The sequence below is a fragment of the Homo sapiens genome, chromosome 1 (assembly GCF_000001405.40).
Source record: "Homo sapiens chromosome 1, GRCh38.p14 Primary Assembly".
Classification (NCBI taxonomy): domain Eukaryota; kingdom Metazoa; phylum Chordata; class Mammalia; order Primates; family Hominidae; genus Homo; species Homo sapiens.
Window position 1 is genome coordinate 185,733,446 of NC_000001.11, and position 16,806 is coordinate 185,750,251.

Genomic DNA, 16,806 nt, shown 5'->3' on the forward strand with positions numbered 1-16,806 from the left:
GTATATAGCAATCACAACACGGAAAAACGTTGGCATGTCTTCCAGGGTGAGGTTTCCTTCTTGACTGGCAAGAAAATGCCATAGAGGGGAGCACCTTTCCAATAGATCTTTGGCTGAGACCTGAGGCATGACTGTTCCAGGGGAGGAAATCTGAAACGGGGATATTATTCTGCCTTACTATGCTGAGCGTAGGATTCAAACTGCTCAGCAAATGTGAATCTTGATAATACAATTAAAAAATCAATTTTCTCTTTAATATGAATTTTATGTCTCATCTTTCCCCACACCTCTCTCGCCCCTCCTCCTTGTCCTTTCTACGGGGCTTCCATCCTGTATTCACATTCCCCTCTACAGTTAGTGACTACCTAGTTCTTGTCTCTCATTTCCCTCAGCAGCCCCTTTCCTCTTCCTGGGCTTCTTGCCCCTTCAGCGTTGTCCTCCCTTCCTTCCCTGCAGTCCAGAGTCTCAGAGGAGATCAAAGAGCGATAGTGTGGCTGCCTCGCAGCTGAGAGAATTTTCCAGCTCCCCCTCCTGGCTGGGCCGAGTTGTGGGCTGAGAGGCAGGAGGCTGGGCTGGGGCGTCTTGACTTTTGGGGGGAATTAGGAAAGAGGTGTCTAAAGCCGCGTTGTACACAATAGAAAAACAAAATTCCCTTTGTGCTAGTGTGGTGTCCCTCGGTTTGGGTCTTTGCCACACATTCTTGAAAGCCATTGTTTACACTAGCGTTTTGCAGGTTAGGAACGGTGCCGGTGGGAACCGAGCTGACACCGTAAGCGCTTCCCTGGGACTGAATTGACCCTACAATCAGTGGAGGGAAAAGTCACCCTCCGGGGGGGCCTCCAGAGCAAAGGAGGGAGGACGGCAACTGGCCAATCAGGAGGCGAGGCCGAGCCAGGCTTCCCCTCGTCGCTCGTGAGCTGCAAACAGTGGAAAGTTGGGAACCTCAGTCGCTGGCCCAGGCGGAGAGCAGCGGCGGCGGCGAGGGCAGCGGGATTCGGGCCGCGGCGCCGCAGGCTCAGAGCTGCCCCCGGGGCATGGACCCGACGCGCCGCCCGCACTCCGCCACAGGCTGTCCAGGGCCCGCGGGCAGATAGCAGTCCAGGAGGAAGCCGCATCCAGACAAAAGCTGCCGCATCCCTGCCCTGCCCAACCCCTGGAGGGATTCGAGTTTGGTGCTTGTCCCCGTCTGATTCTCAGCGCCAAACTTTTTGCTAGTTCAGAGATTCCAAGAGTCTGATGAGTTACTCTGAGAGGAAACCCTCTGCCTGTTGTTGAGGAGGACTGAGCACAGTGCTTAGGCGCTGAGGGGGAAAAAGAGGGGGAAAAAAAAGAAAATGATTTCCTGGGAAGTTGTCCATACAGTATTCCTGTTTGCTCTTCTTTATTCTTCCCTAGCTCAAGATGCGAGCCCCCAGTCAGAGATCAGAGCTGAGGAAATTCCCGAGGGGGCCTCCACGTTGGCTTTTGTGTTTGATGTGACTGGTTCTATGTATGATGATTTAGTTCAGGTGATTGAAGGGGCTTCCAAAATTTTGGAGACGTCTTTGAAAAGACCTAAAAGACCTCTTTTCAACTTTGCGTTGGTGCCTTTCCATGATCCAGGTAAGGGAAATATTTATACTTTGTCTTTGCTATGTCTCATGATTACATTATTTCTCATGCTGTGAATGAAATTGTTTGTCAGGAAGTTTCAAAACCATTTTAAAAAAATGTGCAGCTGAAAATAGTTGTAACAAAGAATTACTTGCTGGCGTCTGGGTTTGCTCATTGATACCTACTTAAGTCTCAGCCCTGGTGGAGATGGCTTGTTTAGGGAACTTGTACTGTGGTCCTCAAACCTGGAAATGTGGAGTTACGAAAAACAAAACCAAAAATCTTGGGCAACGACATCAAAATCACTTAACTCACTTAGATTTTAGAACTAAAGCATGTTTAATTACGAAGGCAGACTTGGACACGAATTTATAGCAGCGAAGCTCTAGGGGCTAACATCCAGATTGAAAGCACACTCTGAGGGTAACTCTCATTTAAGAGGGGAAAAAACCTGTTGTGTGAGACACAAGGAAGCCTGTAAGTAGTAACTACTAGTGGAACTGAAGACATGAAAAGAAAAGAGAGAAACCAATCATTTCTTAACTGAATCTATTCATCTTTGCACCAGGGCATCATTAGATAGGTTCACAGATGGGTATAAACATTACATCCATGTCTCCTGCGGTAGAATTGCTTGTAATTCGGAATGTCTGTGCTTTTTAAAGGTAGTTGAAGTGAAATAACTTCATTTTTGCCCTAAAGCCGTAGGTTTCAGCAGCTCCACTGTAATATGATCCTATTTACTTTTTTCAGTTTCTCTTTAAAGTAGCACCTCTCTGTGAGGCTTATAGGAGCCCCCATTGCCATAGCTGAGGGTAGCCTTGCAAGGGAAACCCTGGGGCTGGCAGTCTAATGTCCACCTGAGTTTCATTAGCACAAGTTGCTGCCCAGTTGAAGAAATGAAGCAGTGATTTCTTAACAGTCCTCCCCCACTGTTCTCCCACACTTTTCCTGCTTTTGAAATTCTCCCTTCACTAGAAGAACTTGACACAACCTCTTCACAACGAGAGTGTGATATCGGCAATCTGAAATTCCTTCCTGTGCATTTAGCAAAAGTATATAAGTTCAAATTATTGGTAGGTATTAAATATGGCAGGTTTTAACTATTAAACAATGGCACTGGGAGAAATTTAAAGATATATAGAACTCTCGGATTTTCATGCTCTTCACATGATGAAAACAATCTGTACTACTCTTCTGGGATATGTAATATATATATACACACACATACACATACATACATTACATATATGTAATTACATATATTTGTAATTTCTACATTGGTTAAACATGAATATTATTTATATTTGAATAAAGAATTGAATGATTATTTACTGTGTTTACTGTCTTAGACACTTCATATGTTGTGATTTTCAATGTATTAAATGTCAAGATGCCAACTGTGATGCAGTTTGAGGTTTTTGTTATTTCGGAATACCTTGAGTATGTTTCTTCTAGATGGATGAGTCTGAAGTTAGCTAAAAAATGAAGTGAAATTTTGTTTTTTCTCTAACACCACGATTTGCTTTTCACCAAAGAACTCTTATGAAATTATATTGCTGTAAACAGAATACAAAAATTGCCTCAAGTTATACATGGATACCGGACTATCCTGATATTTTGAAGTGATATGAAAACTTATTGGAATGAATTGTATTGTGGTGCCCTGCCTTTCAATTGTTACCAAATGGGAGAGTTTGCTCTTTGCTGTAGTTGACTTTCCTGTAGTTTAGCAATCATGATTTAAAGTTGGGGAAACTTGACATGCTAATAACAGATGACTGAATAAGTTAGAGCTTTTCTGAATCCAGTAATATGAGAAAATGGTTAACTAATTTAAATTGGTTTCATAAACTTAATTGTGTGTATAATTCAACAGAATTATTAATTCTGTTTACATTGTGATTCAAAGTAGAAGTGGCCAAATATTCATGTTATCTAAAGCTATTTAAAATATTTTTGAAAATAAAGAGAGAAATTGAAGTTTAAACATACTGTTAACTTTAGTATTCACTTTACTAGATTGTAGTACTTTATTTGTGTGATATTTTTCCTCTGTAGGTGTGTGTGTATAATCATTAAGAGTTTTTGGCCTCTTTGTAGTTTTTTTGTTGTTGTTTATTTTTTTTTTTTTGAAACAGGGTCTCACTCTGGCACCCAGGCTGGAGTGCAGTAGCACTATCATGGCTCACTGCAGACTCAACCTCCTAGGCTCAAGCAGTCCTCTCACTTCAGCCTCCCGAGTAGCTGGGACAACAGGCACATGCCACATCTGACTAATTATTTTTTTCATAGAGACAGGGGTTCCACTATGTTGCCCGGGCTAGTCTTGAACTCCTGGCCTCAAGTGATTGTGCTGCCTTGGCCTCCCAAAGTGCTGGGATTACAGGCAGGAGCATCTTGGAATGACAGGAAGGACCTTAAATGGGAATTGGCTGTCTTAGTGAGTGACATTAGAAAACTATATTTACTTTCTGAATCTTAGTATCCTCAACTATATAAATTGAGAGAATTCTATGTGAATATCTCTTAAGGTCTCTTCTAATGTGACAGTTAATGACTCTTTTACATATGGTTGTTTTCATAGTGCCTAACACATATTCCTATGGTTGGGTGACACAACCAACATGGAAAGAAATAATGTATAGAATTTAATATGATTATATTAATAATCTTGAATGTTTATAAGCCCTTTGACATCTATCGCATTTAGCTAGATGAAATAATGGATGAATTCTGGGATATATTCTATGTCTTTTGATATAAACCTTTAGATATTTGCAGATGATTGCTTTGGAGCCCTGCATTACAGTTTGGGGCAAGGTGTGTATTTGCAGATGGAGTAAATTTAAAACACATGGAACACATAGGTAGTGGAGGCAGGGTGTCTAACAAGTTGAAAATGAGATAAGACCATTCAGAATATGTGCATGTAAGAAGCGCTGTGTTGAACTAGCAGCACATGTGTCTAGAGTAGGAGGAGGTACCAGAGATGAACGGGGGTCATGGAAAGGCGAGCCAACCTTTTGATTTTGATGTTAACGGTGGTTAAGATGGATTTTCCACTTTCACAATCACACTTAATGTATTTATTTTTAATGGTTTTATTGAGATGTAATCCCCTTACCATACAATTCATCCACTTAAAGTGTACAATTTGATGCTTTTCAGTATATTCACAGATAGGTGCAAATGTTGCCACAGTCCATTGTAGAACATCTTCATTACCTCAAAAACAAATCCTGCACCCTTCAGCTTTCAGTCTCCTATACCCCAATCATCTTCCCCTCAGTCCTAAGCAGCCACTAATCTATTTTTTTGCTTCTATAGATTTTTCTGTTCTGGACTTTTATACAAGTAGAGTCATATTCTATAAGGTCTTTCATGACTGGCTTCTTTCACTTTAGCATAACATTTTCAAGGTTCATCCATGTTGTAGCATGTATTAGTACTTCATTCCTCTTTTTATGGCCAAATAATATTCCATTGTATGATATACCACATTTTGTTTATCTGTTAGTCCATGATGGATATACCTGGCAGTGGAATTGCTGGGTCATAGTAACTCTATGTTTAACTGTTTGAGAAACTGCCAAGCTGTTTTCCAAAGCAGCTGTACCATTTTATATTCCCACCAGCGCTGTGTGAGGGTTCCGATTTCTTTCCAACCTCCTCAATACACTACTATTATTATTATTTGAAAATTTCAAAAGTTCTTTATTATAGCACATAGATTTATAAAGCTCTTCTTAGAGTTAAAATAATTCAAAAAATAGAAAGTAAACTCATTCTGGAGATTATTTTCTTTATGTAGCATACAACTTCTTTTTTTCCTTCCAACTTTCATTTTAGGTTCAGGGGCCATATGTGCAGGCTTGTTACATGGGTAAATTGTGTGTCACTGGGGTTTGGTGTACAAATGACTTCGTCATCCAGGTAGTGAGCATAGTACCTGATAGTTTTTCAGTCCTCATCCTCCCCCTATCCTCTAATCTCAAGTAAGTTCCAGTGTCTGTTTGCCGCTTTGTGTACATGTGTACTCAGTGTTTAGCCCCCACTTATAAGTGAGAGCATATGGTATTTGGTTTTCTGTTCCTGCATTAATATGCTTAGGATAATGGACTCCAGCTGCATCCATGTCACTGAAAAGGACATGATTTCACTCTTTCTTATGGCTGTGTAGTATTCCATGGTGTATCTGTACCACAATTTCTTTGTCTAGTCCATCGTTGATGGGCATCTAGGTTGATTCCATGTCTTTGCTGGTGCAACATGCTGTTATTGAAATTTTTGATTCTTATGTATTAATTTTTACTGTGCTTTTTACATAGCACTCAAAATATATTCCTCCCTTCCTTGAAATACAACATTGAGGAGGGCTGATCATCTCTCTTTCACTATAGCTTCTTTTATCACTCACTCTCTTATATCCCCTCCTCTCTTTAAGGCAGGTACCAGAGACAGGAGGAGAGGGAGCAGGACAGTGTGTTTTAATGAGTTACTTCATAGAAAGAAAACTCTTTTTTCTTCTCTTTCACAATTGTGTCTCCACTTTCTTCCCAGGATATCTTACATGAGTCTCCATGCATTCATTCATTCACTCACCTATATGTTTCAGACCTTGCTTCACATAAAAGGGCGTAAAACAGATAAAAGCGCCTGCATTCATGGAGCTTACATTCTATTGCAGGGGTGGGGAGTGACACAGGCAAAAAAGAAAACAATTAAAATATATATGGTATTTTTGATGATGATAATTGGTATGGAGAAAATAAAAAGCAGGAAAAGGGATGGGGAGTTTGAGGTGGATTGAAGGTGTTGGAATTTTAAATTCGGTCATTAGGGAAGTCCTCAGTTGAAAAGTCACATTTGATCAAAGACTTGAAGGAGGTGAGGGAGGGAGAAATGAGGATATTTATGGAAAGAATGTTACAGGTGGAGAAAAAATAAATGAAAAACTCTCCTGATAAGAGCATCCTGACATGTTCAGGGAACAGTGAAAAGACCAGAGAGTCTGGAACACAATGAGTGATAGGAAGAAGTTAGAGGGTGAAGTCAGAAATATGGTTGAGTCATTTCAGGAAAGGGCTCGTAGTCCATTATGACTTTGGCTTTTACTCTGAGTGAGATGGGTTGGCATTTTAGGGTTCTGAACATAGAAGTGACGTGATCTGACTTATGCATCTACATAATCATTCTGTTGTTTGAGAATAGTCTGAAGCAGAACAAGGGCAGAAACAGGGAGAATAGACAGGACACTATTGTATAATTCAGACAAAAGAACATGGTATATCTTGCATGAAGTTGGTGGCTGTGGGAGGTGTGAGAAATAATTGGATTTTCTGTATATTTTGAAGATGAAACCAAAAGGATTTAATGAACTGGATGTGAGGTCTTAGAAAAATAAAGAAGACAAGACAGGTTCTGAGGATTTGGCTTGACTGATGCTATGGTTTGGATATGGTTTTTCCATGCCAAAAATTTTATGTGGAAATTTGATACCCAATGTGTCAGTGTTGGGAGGTAGGGCCTAGTAGGAAGTGTTTAGGTAGATCTCTCATGGACAGGTTAATGTCTTCCCTTGAGGGCAAGTTCTTGCTCTTGTGTGAATAGATTAATTCCTTTAAGAGTAAGTTGATTGGGCAGGGGGTGGGGGGTAGGGGGATGGGGTGGCGGGGAGCTCGGTGGCTCACACCTGTAATCCCAGCACTTTGGGAGGCTGAGGCAGACAGATTACTTGAGGTCAGGAGTTCAAGACCAGCCTGGTCAACATGGTGAAACCCCGTCTCCACTAAAAATACAAAAATTAGCCGGGCATGGTGGCACGTGCCTATAGTCTCAGCTTCTTGGGAGGCTGAGGCAGTAGAATCGCTCGAACCCTGGAGGTGGAGGTTACAGTGAGCTGAGATTGGACCATTGCACTCAAGCCTGGGCAATAGAGGAAGACTCTATCTCAAAAACAAAAACGAAAACAAAAACAAAAACAAGTTGTTAAAAAGAGTCTGGCTTCCTTGGTTTTTGTCTCTTGCTTCCTCTCTTGCCATGTGATCTCTTTGCAATGCCCCACCTCCCTTCCATCATCCACTGTGAATGGAAGCAGCATGAGGCCCTCACCAGATGCAGCTGCCCAATTTTGAACTTTCCAGTCACCAGAATCATACGCCCAATATGCCATTTTTCTTTAAAAATTACCCAGCCTAAAGCATTCTGTTATAGCTACACTGAATGGACTAAGACAAGTAAATAGAAGCATAGCATGGCCTTTCACTGAGATGGAGAAGAATGAGCAAGAAGCAGGTTTGATAAAGGGTGGTAGGATGAAGTTTTGATTTTTAGGTGTTAAAGTCTGAGATGCCTTTTGATACTCAAGTAGAGATAAGAAGATAGTTGGATATGTGAGATTTAAGTTCAAGGGGAGATGTCTTGGGATCCAAAGACATACATATAGATGGTATTTAGGACAATTAGACTAAATGAGACCATTAAGGGAGACTGACTATAAATGGAGAAGAGAAGAGGTCTGAGGACCTAGCCCTGGGACTCCAATGTTTAGCAATCAGAGAGATGAGGATGAATCAGCAAAGCAGCCCACGAAATTGAACTCAGGATAGGAGGAGAAGAGTATGTTATCCTAGAAGTCAAGAAACTGTTTCAAGGAAGAACTAATTGGTCACTTAAAAGGAGGATCAAGAATTGGCTAATCAGTTTAGCAATGTGGAAGTCATTGGTGACTCAACAAGAATAGTTTCACGGAGGAGATGGGAGTGAAAGCCTGTTTGGAGAGAATTCAAAGAGAATGGGAAAAGAGGATTTGGAAATCTTTGTAATTATATTGCCGTGTCCAACTACTGGAACAGTTGCTTTGTTCATGAGGCTAAAACTGAACTTAGTTTTGACAAACTATTCAACTAGTATTTTATGAAATACAAATATAAATATATTGCTGTGTCCAACTACCGGAATGGTTGCTTTGATCATAGGGCTAAAATTGAGCTTAGTTTGATAAACGATTCAACAAGTATTTTATGAATACAAATAAAAGTAAAAAGAACATCCAGTTTGAAACAGAATACTTGTGTTCTTTTTCTTATTCTTGTCACTTCAGCAAATCTTTTAACCTTGCTCGACCGTCTGTTTCTCCATCTATAAAATTAGAGCATTGGCAGGTTATTGTCAAAGTCCATGATTTACATCATTATAATATAAAGAAAAATAAGCAACTATAAAGAGGTTCAAAGTAGCAAGGACTTGATTCATTGGGAGAAATATTGACGTTATATATCTTTGTATATAAAAGTTTTCATTTTAATACAGTTCATCAGCCTTCAGTGACTTTGTATAGTTTGGCTGTATATACACAGTGGTAAGAAATTCCTCCAGGACTTTTTTTTTAGTAAAATCATTCTCTTAGAATATTTTTCTGAGCAATAGCAAGATCATTTGAAACCATAATGAATAGAAAGATTTTTACATGGAAGATATTACACATTTGGACCTTGAAAACCTGTGCACATCTATATGAACTGAAATTCAAATTGAAATGTTTTCAGTTTCAATATGTATAGGAAAAAGAGCCAAAAAGCTGTTAGTCTCTCTGTGCCTCTAGCACATCCTACAAGAAGGAGGATTTTCATAAGCAAAATGATTGGTCTCTTATGTCCAAGAGAAATTCAGCTGAATGCAATGCACTAAAATTTAAGAGTGAGACACTTTGGACAAGGGTAACTCTTATTTCTCAGGATAATAAAATATTTCAACTTTGGTGAGTGAGTTTTATGTCACTAGATGTCTCCTGAGGATATGTAGAGGTGTTTTGCTATGCGTAACAAAGACTTTCTCTTAAAGTATAAGGACCAAAGTTTGGTAAATCAGATATTTTAAATGTGTTAGGCATGTTTCCCATTTAACAGAATCCTCTGTGACTCCCAAGAAATGATGTTTTTCCCCCCTTGTTAATTAGTTAAGGAACAGCCTTCTACTTTATTGTTGATAAATCAGAATTTGACATTGCTTATGATTTGTTTCTGATCAAACAGACAATAACCATTCTTGATGGTCTTTATAATTCTGCTTACTCCTCTTTCTCCCTGACTAGATATTAAGCTCCAAAAGACTAGTTGATTTATCTTACAGCCACACAATAGACACTCAAGAAATATTTCATGAATGAATGAATGAATGCTGGAGACAAAAACTGATAATTTCTCTGGGTATTTTTATCCTGCCTTTCATATCTATGATTTTACTTTTTAACTCACAAGTAGAAGAATACAATTCACAACATAATAATTTGCTAATTGTGCCTTTTTGGTGATAATATATCTCCCATCCAAGCTTGAATATGAAATGGAAGGCTAATTATGACCCAGATAATGCCTGACTGAGTCTTGTGTAGTGATTGAATGTTTCTAAAGCAGGTGATTTTGTTGGGGATTTAAATGCAGTCTGGAATGTTTCAGCTGTATGCTATAAGGCAGTCTGCCTACCTTCCAATTTTAACTGGATTGGCTGAAGGGGTGTTAGAACAATTGAACTGATTTCCAAGGAGCACTGTGCAACCAGAGGATCCATGTTGTAAGTGTTCTCACAAATCTACAGGGATTCTCAACCTTGGTTTTTGTGGTTTCTGATAATCCCATGAGGAGTCTTCATCACTGTGGAGAATAGGAAAAATTTAAAAATGGATATATGTCAACTATCAGATGTGATGCTATCAGTTTTTCCTACCTACCTTAGTGATGCTATCATGGTTAAATAAAACATTATATGTGAAAGTCCTTTAAAAGTACTATAGAACAAATGGTGTTGCTGTAACTTATTTGTCTATAAACATTGAATAGATAGTGGAAGGAAGGCAATTATCAAGGAAAATAGTACAACACTTATACAGTAAGACTAAAAAATTACATAGAAAAAGATTCTACTTGATGACTTTACTGTTTTGTTTTTTTTTTTTTTTTTTTTTTTTGAGACGGAGTCTCACTCTGTCTCCCAGGCTGGAGTGCAGTGGCGCAATCTCGGCTCACTGCAAGCTCCGCCTCCCGGGTTCACGCCATTCTCCTGCCTCAGCCTCCGGAGTAGCTGGGACTACAGGCGCCCGCCACCACACCCAGCTAATTTTTTTTTTTTTAATTGTTAGTAGAGACGGGGTTGCACCGTGTTCGCCAGGATGGTCTCAATCTCCTGACCTTGTGATCCACCCACGTTGGCCTCCCAAAGTGCGGGATTACAGGCGTGAGCCACCATGCCTGGCCTGACTTGACTGTTAATCAACCTATAGGCAAAGGATGTTTCAAACCAGTTCAGTTATATAACGACTATAATATATATTCTCATATATTCAGTGCTTTGAGAAGCATGTATGCTTTACTATATTGTTCCTTTGAGCCCTAGGCCACTGCCTCATAATTGGAAAACCAACAAGAGAATCTAAAAAGTCAAAGATAAGCCATTAGATCCACTCATTCATTCAGTTATTTAGTCTATCAATTACAGACTTCTTACCATTTGTCAGGGACTGTGCTAGGTGCTCTTGATTCAAGTCTGTGAGAAATAGGGCAAGATAAATTACAATATACTATACTATGCTACCTTTTATAGCAGAAGGAAGCATGGGTGCTGTGCAGACCCAGAGCAGTGCACCTGATCCTGAATTAAGATGGTGGTGGTCAGCAAAGGTTTTCTGGAATAATTGTGGCCTGGACTGAAACCTGAAGAAAGTGCATGAATAAAAGCAGTTTAATCAAACATTGAGGAGTTTGGATTTCATCCTGAAAGCTATCAGGAGCCTGGAAGGATTATAAGTAAGAAGTGACATGATTGGGTTTTTATTTTAGATCTCTATCTCCTGGATGGATTGGAACAAGGGAGTCCTGAGAGCTGGGAGATGAAATGTGAGGCCATCACAATCCAGGGGGAAACATTGAGGGGACTTGGGTGTAGAGATAAGGGGATAGATTTCTTTGCTATTAAGAATGTCCAATGGACTGGACATGGTCCTAAGAATCTAAAAAAAAAGAAATATAATTGCCTTTTGGAGGTTAAAATTTGAAATTAGCATAGGATGGAAGAGAAAAGATATGCAAAGTTAGCTTTAAGACACAACGTTACTCCCAGGCCAGTAAGTGCTGATAGTAAGCTCCTTATACATTAACTTATCCAAGATAAAATGTCAACCGAAAGTGTAGGGAATCGGCAATGAAAAAGAGAGTCACAGAAACAGACTTAAGCAGTGTACAGCCAAGTTCTAACTAGGGTTCAGGGTGTTAGTTCATTCTATACTTGAATAACCAGCCCACGCATCAGCAGTCTTTCTAACTGTGGTGATAGACTGTTTATCCTTATAAATATGTAATGATGTCATTACATATTTGGATCATAATATTAACTCTGCTTTTTCTGGTTAAATGCTCACCAAACAGCCTCCCGAATATGTAACCTCATGCACTTTCCTTATGGGGAGAGAAGGCTGTCTGTAGTCAGACTGGCACATAATCAGGTTCACCAGGCAGTTATATTCCTCATTGTTAACTCATATTTTGGCACACTAGTCATATCCATCAGTCTCTTTCGTTTAAAATATTCTGACAGTGTCAAGTTCAAGTTTCTGAATTTACAAGTCCAAGAGCCAGTCCTTGGTCAATGATGGTGAATTTATCAAAGTCTCTCTGTGTGGATCTGTTTGGGTGGCCTGTCTGTCTCCAGGTATCACTCCTCAACATTTCCAACTGTCAGTGTTAGTATGACTAGTGCCAAGTAGCTATTCTGTCCACTTGAAACTTACATAGATGACAACTGAAGCCATCGGAATAAATGAGATCATCCAAGGAGAGAGTGCAGACTGAGAAAAGGAAGGAGACAGGATAGAACTTAGAGAACACAGTCATTTAAAATAAGACAGAAAAAGGGAAGTTCATTATGGACTCTGGAAAAGGGAGTCCAGGAAGATAGGGAGAAAAACAGGAATGAGTAGTGTTTGGAAATCTAAAACGTTGTTAGTTTTAAGCAGGAGAAGTTGTCAACTCTGTGCATTTATAGAGTTCCTGAAAATAAAGGGTAAACAATATGGAGCTCAACAGGACAGTTTTACTGGAGTTGTGGAGCTTCCATAGAAGGCTAAAATGATGAGTTAAGAAAATGGAGCTGGTGAGTACAGGATGTTTCTTTCATGAAAGAAGAGCATAGGCCCCGGAGTCTGATGTTTGGTTTGGAAGTCTGGCTCCACCAGTTACTTGCTGTGTAATCTTAAGTTCTTTGTGCTTCAGTTTCAGTATGCCCAAGAAGACAGGGCCTACTCCTAGGGCTGCTATAGCAAACTATCACAAAATGTGTGACTTAAACAATAGAAATTTATCATCTCACAGTTCTAGAGGCTGGAAGTGCAAAATCAAGATGTTGGTAGGGTAGTGAAGGCTGTGAGGACAAATCTGTTTCATGCCTGTCTCCCAACTTCTAGTGGTTTGCTGGCAATCTTTGACGTTCCTTGGCTTGTAGATACATCACCCTAATCTCTGCCTTTGTCGTCACATGGTGTTATCTTTGTGTGCTGTGTCAGATTTTCCTTTTCCTTTTTTTTTTTTTTTTTGTGAGACAGTCTCTCTCTGTTGCCCAGGCTAGAGTGCAATGGTGTGATCTCAGCTCACCGCAACTTCTGCCTCCCAGGTTCTAGCGATTCTGCCTGCCTTAGCCTCCTGAGTAGCTGGGATTACAGGTGCCCACCACCATGCCCAGCTAATTTTTTGTATTTTTAGTAGAGACAGGGTTTTGCTGTGTTGGCCAGGCTTGTCTCAAACTCCTGACCTCAGGCCATCTGCCCACCTCAGCCGCCCAAAGTGTTGGGATTACAGGTGTGAGCCACCGCAACCAGCCAAATTTTCCTTTTTCGTGAGGACACCAGTCATATTGGATTAGCGGCCCACGATACTCCAATGTGGTCGCCTCTTAATTATATCTGCAATGACTATTTACAAAGAAGGTCACATTTTGAGGTGCTGGAGGATAGGACTTTAACATATGAATTTTTGGAGGACATAATTCAACTCACAGCAAATCATTTAGCAATTAACATTAAAAAACCAAAACTCTAACTCTTTTACTAGGGAAACTCAGTTTATTCTAAAATTTCTGATCAAAATATTTGCATTAGGGACTATCATAGACTCTAAACTCTGATCTCTTTTATTGGATAGGAACAGAGTTCTCAGTGGCAGTTATGGAGAAAGGCATTAATGTTTGGGGTGCTATTTAAGTTCTCAAAATAATTTGTATTGTTAAAAACCTGTTACTTTTTTTTTTTTTTGAGACAGAGTTTTACTTCATCACCCAGGCTGGAGTGCAGTGGCGTGATCTCGGCTCACTGCAACCTCCACCTCCTTGGTTCAAGCAATTCTCATGCCTTAGCCTCCCAAGTAGCTGGAACTACAGGCACACACTACCATACCTGGCTAATTTTTTGTGTTTTTGGTACAGACAGGGTTTCACCATGTTGGCCAGGCTGGTCTCGAACTCCTGACCTCAAGTGATCCACCTGCCTTGGCCTCCCAAATTGCTGGGATTATAGGCATGAGCCACCGCACCCGGCCCTGTTACTTTTAAGCATGCATTTAATAAAGTCGTATTTAATCTTTTGTTGGTGATGTCCAGATATTTAATTTTGAGATGGGGAAAATTACATAGGAGCTAGGAATTCTGGGAATTATGTATGGGTTCTAAAATATTTTGACATTGTATACTCCCAGCTTTCTTTTCTTCAAAACGTTAAACACTAATTGGAGCAATTTTTCCATTAGCAGTAAGTCTCTGAGAACTTCGCTTTAAGCACTGTTTTATAGCAGGTGGAAGGAATTCCTTGATGTTCTCAGGCTGTAAGGCATGCTGATTACCACCAAAAGTGTGTCAGGGTAACCTTTATGCTCTTGCCAAGTTCTGACAGGGAGAGAGTTAAGTGAGAAGCATGGGTGATGGGGAGGAGATAAATACAAGAAAGGGTACTTAAAATTTTTTTTTTTTTTTTTTTTTTTTTTACAAATAGAAGGTCAAGAAAATACATTATTTCACTAAGTAATAGAGAACAAAATTTTAAAAAGATATTGTACTATCTGGAATTTCAGTTTTTAAGATTCAAAGTGAAATCTGTTATGCTTTTTGTTTAGCTCCTTAGTTTCACTTCAAAGCCTTTTACTAGAGCACACAGAAAACCTCATTTCTATTGTTTTCATATTCCCCAGAGGGTCTTCCCAGCTCTTCTTAGGTGAACATGCTCACCACCTCCTTGATCAGATCATTACACTTTTGCCTTGAAGTTGTCTCCCCAGCCACACCCTATGTTGGAATGTCCCCTATGTGCAGGACAATGTCTCACCCATAATCAAAAGATTTTCCAAAATTTCACATCTCCCAAGGAACTTTCCTGGAATATTAGAAAAGTGTCATTCTTTTTAATATTGAGATCCCTTTCTATATTTATTGTATGTTATGGACTTAATTTGTGCCTTTGATAATATTACCCTTTCTTAATCCTTCTACATAATAATGAAAATTAACAGGGGATTTGATTTATCTTGACAAAGTAAAATTTAGTAGAGTTAGAATGGCATAGGTTTTGAGTGAATGGATTCTAATATCAAATAGACTAGCATTTGATTATTAGTAAGTTACTAACTTCTCAAAGCCTTAGTTTCCTTATCATTAAAGTGAGTATCAGTAAAGTGAGAATAACAATCATACTTCCTTTGCAGAATTGTTTTAAGGCTTAGAAGAGAAAATCCATGTAAAACATTTGGTGCAAAGCCTGACACAGAGCAAGGACCCAAGAGTGTCCTATAAGGGAAATAACACTTGACCTAGAGTCAAAACACTTGAGTACTGGCTCTGTAACTGGGCAGGTAACTAGACTCTTAGAATCTCAGTTTCTTTTTGCATAAAATAAGGATAAAACCAGTTTTGTGTACTGATAAATGTTAAATCTCTGGCTCTGGAGCTTGGGGTAGGAAGAGGGCTTTATTTGTAGCATTTGCCAGTTTATATGGTGTTGTTACTCCTCCATGGCCAATTTCAAACACCAACATGAAGCCTGGATATAGAGTTGGGAATAGATGTGTACAATCATCTCTGATTCACCACCTAAAATTCCCTCAACAAAGAAGGATATTTATGTTTCAGTGAGACTATATACTATTGGTGAAAGGACTTAGTATAATTGTCATTCACAAAATGTTAGTTTAATTGTGCTTGGAAAAGTCTATTACAAGGGTAGAGTTAGTGAGAGTAGAACTAGTTCAGTGATGGAGACAGCAGATTGAATGTTTTCTTTTTCATGACGGTTTTGGGAAGTTTCAACATTAAATACCCAGGGAGGCCAGGCAGGCAACATCAATACAGAAGTGGAACAAGGAGAAACCTACTGCCTGCTTAAATCTTCAAAGGGCATCTAATAAGTACCTCACGTTTATCATCAACCCGTCCCCACCCTACATGTGTCTTCTCCAGCGTTCCCCATCTCAGTACAGGCACCACATTTTCTTACTTATTTGGGACAAGGCCCTTTGAGATCTCCTGTGCTCCTCTTTTTCTTTCACACCCCACATCTGATCCCTCCACAAGTTATTTTGGCTCTGCCTTCAAGATCATTTTAAATTTGACCAGTTCTCATCTCCCTCTACAGGTACTCCTCTAGCCTGAGCCACTTTAACTGCTCTCGCTGCTGTTCTCCCCAGTGCTGCCAGAAGGATCGTTTTAAAATGAAAGAAATGTCATTATTCCCACCTTCCCTTTCTGATGTCCTTATTCACATCACTTTAAGCATATTGGCCTCTTTATTATTTCTTACATGTCAGGCACACTTCCTCTCCAGAGCCATTGCCCTTGCAGTTCCCTCTTTCCTCAGATCCTTGATTCGCATGGCTGGCACATCATTTCATATGGCTCTTGGCTAAAAGTCACCTCCTCCGAAAAGCCTTCCCTGATTACCCACCTAACATAGTCCTGCACATGAATCTGTCTCATTAACCTGCTTTATTTTTCTTTATAGAATTTAGCACTGGTTGTCTTTAGAGATGATGTGAATTCGTTCATTTAAGTTCTATGCTCTCTTCTAAATATAAACTCCATGAGGGCAGGAACTTAATTTTCATGACTGTATTTGGTAGAGCCTCATGTAAGTTTCCTGGCATATAGAAGGCACTCAATAAAGTGAGTGCCTTCTTTTATTTAAAG

The 16,806-nt window shown here is 39.7% G+C and overlaps 1 protein-coding gene across 4 annotated transcripts in view; it reads left to right on the plus strand.

Moving 5' to 3' along the window:
- Positions 946-16,806, plus strand: part of HMCN1 (hemicentin 1) — a 456,559-nt gene continuing 440,698 nt past the window's right edge. For all 4 annotated transcript variants that reach the window (NM_031935.3, XM_011510038.4, XM_024450118.2 and 1 more), the window contains exon 1: positions 946-1,602. In NM_031935.3, coding sequence (NP_114141.2) covers positions 1,335-1,602 — 268 coding nt within the window. In that variant the 5' untranslated portion in view covers positions 946-1,334. The remainder of the gene's footprint in view (positions 1,603-16,806) is intronic.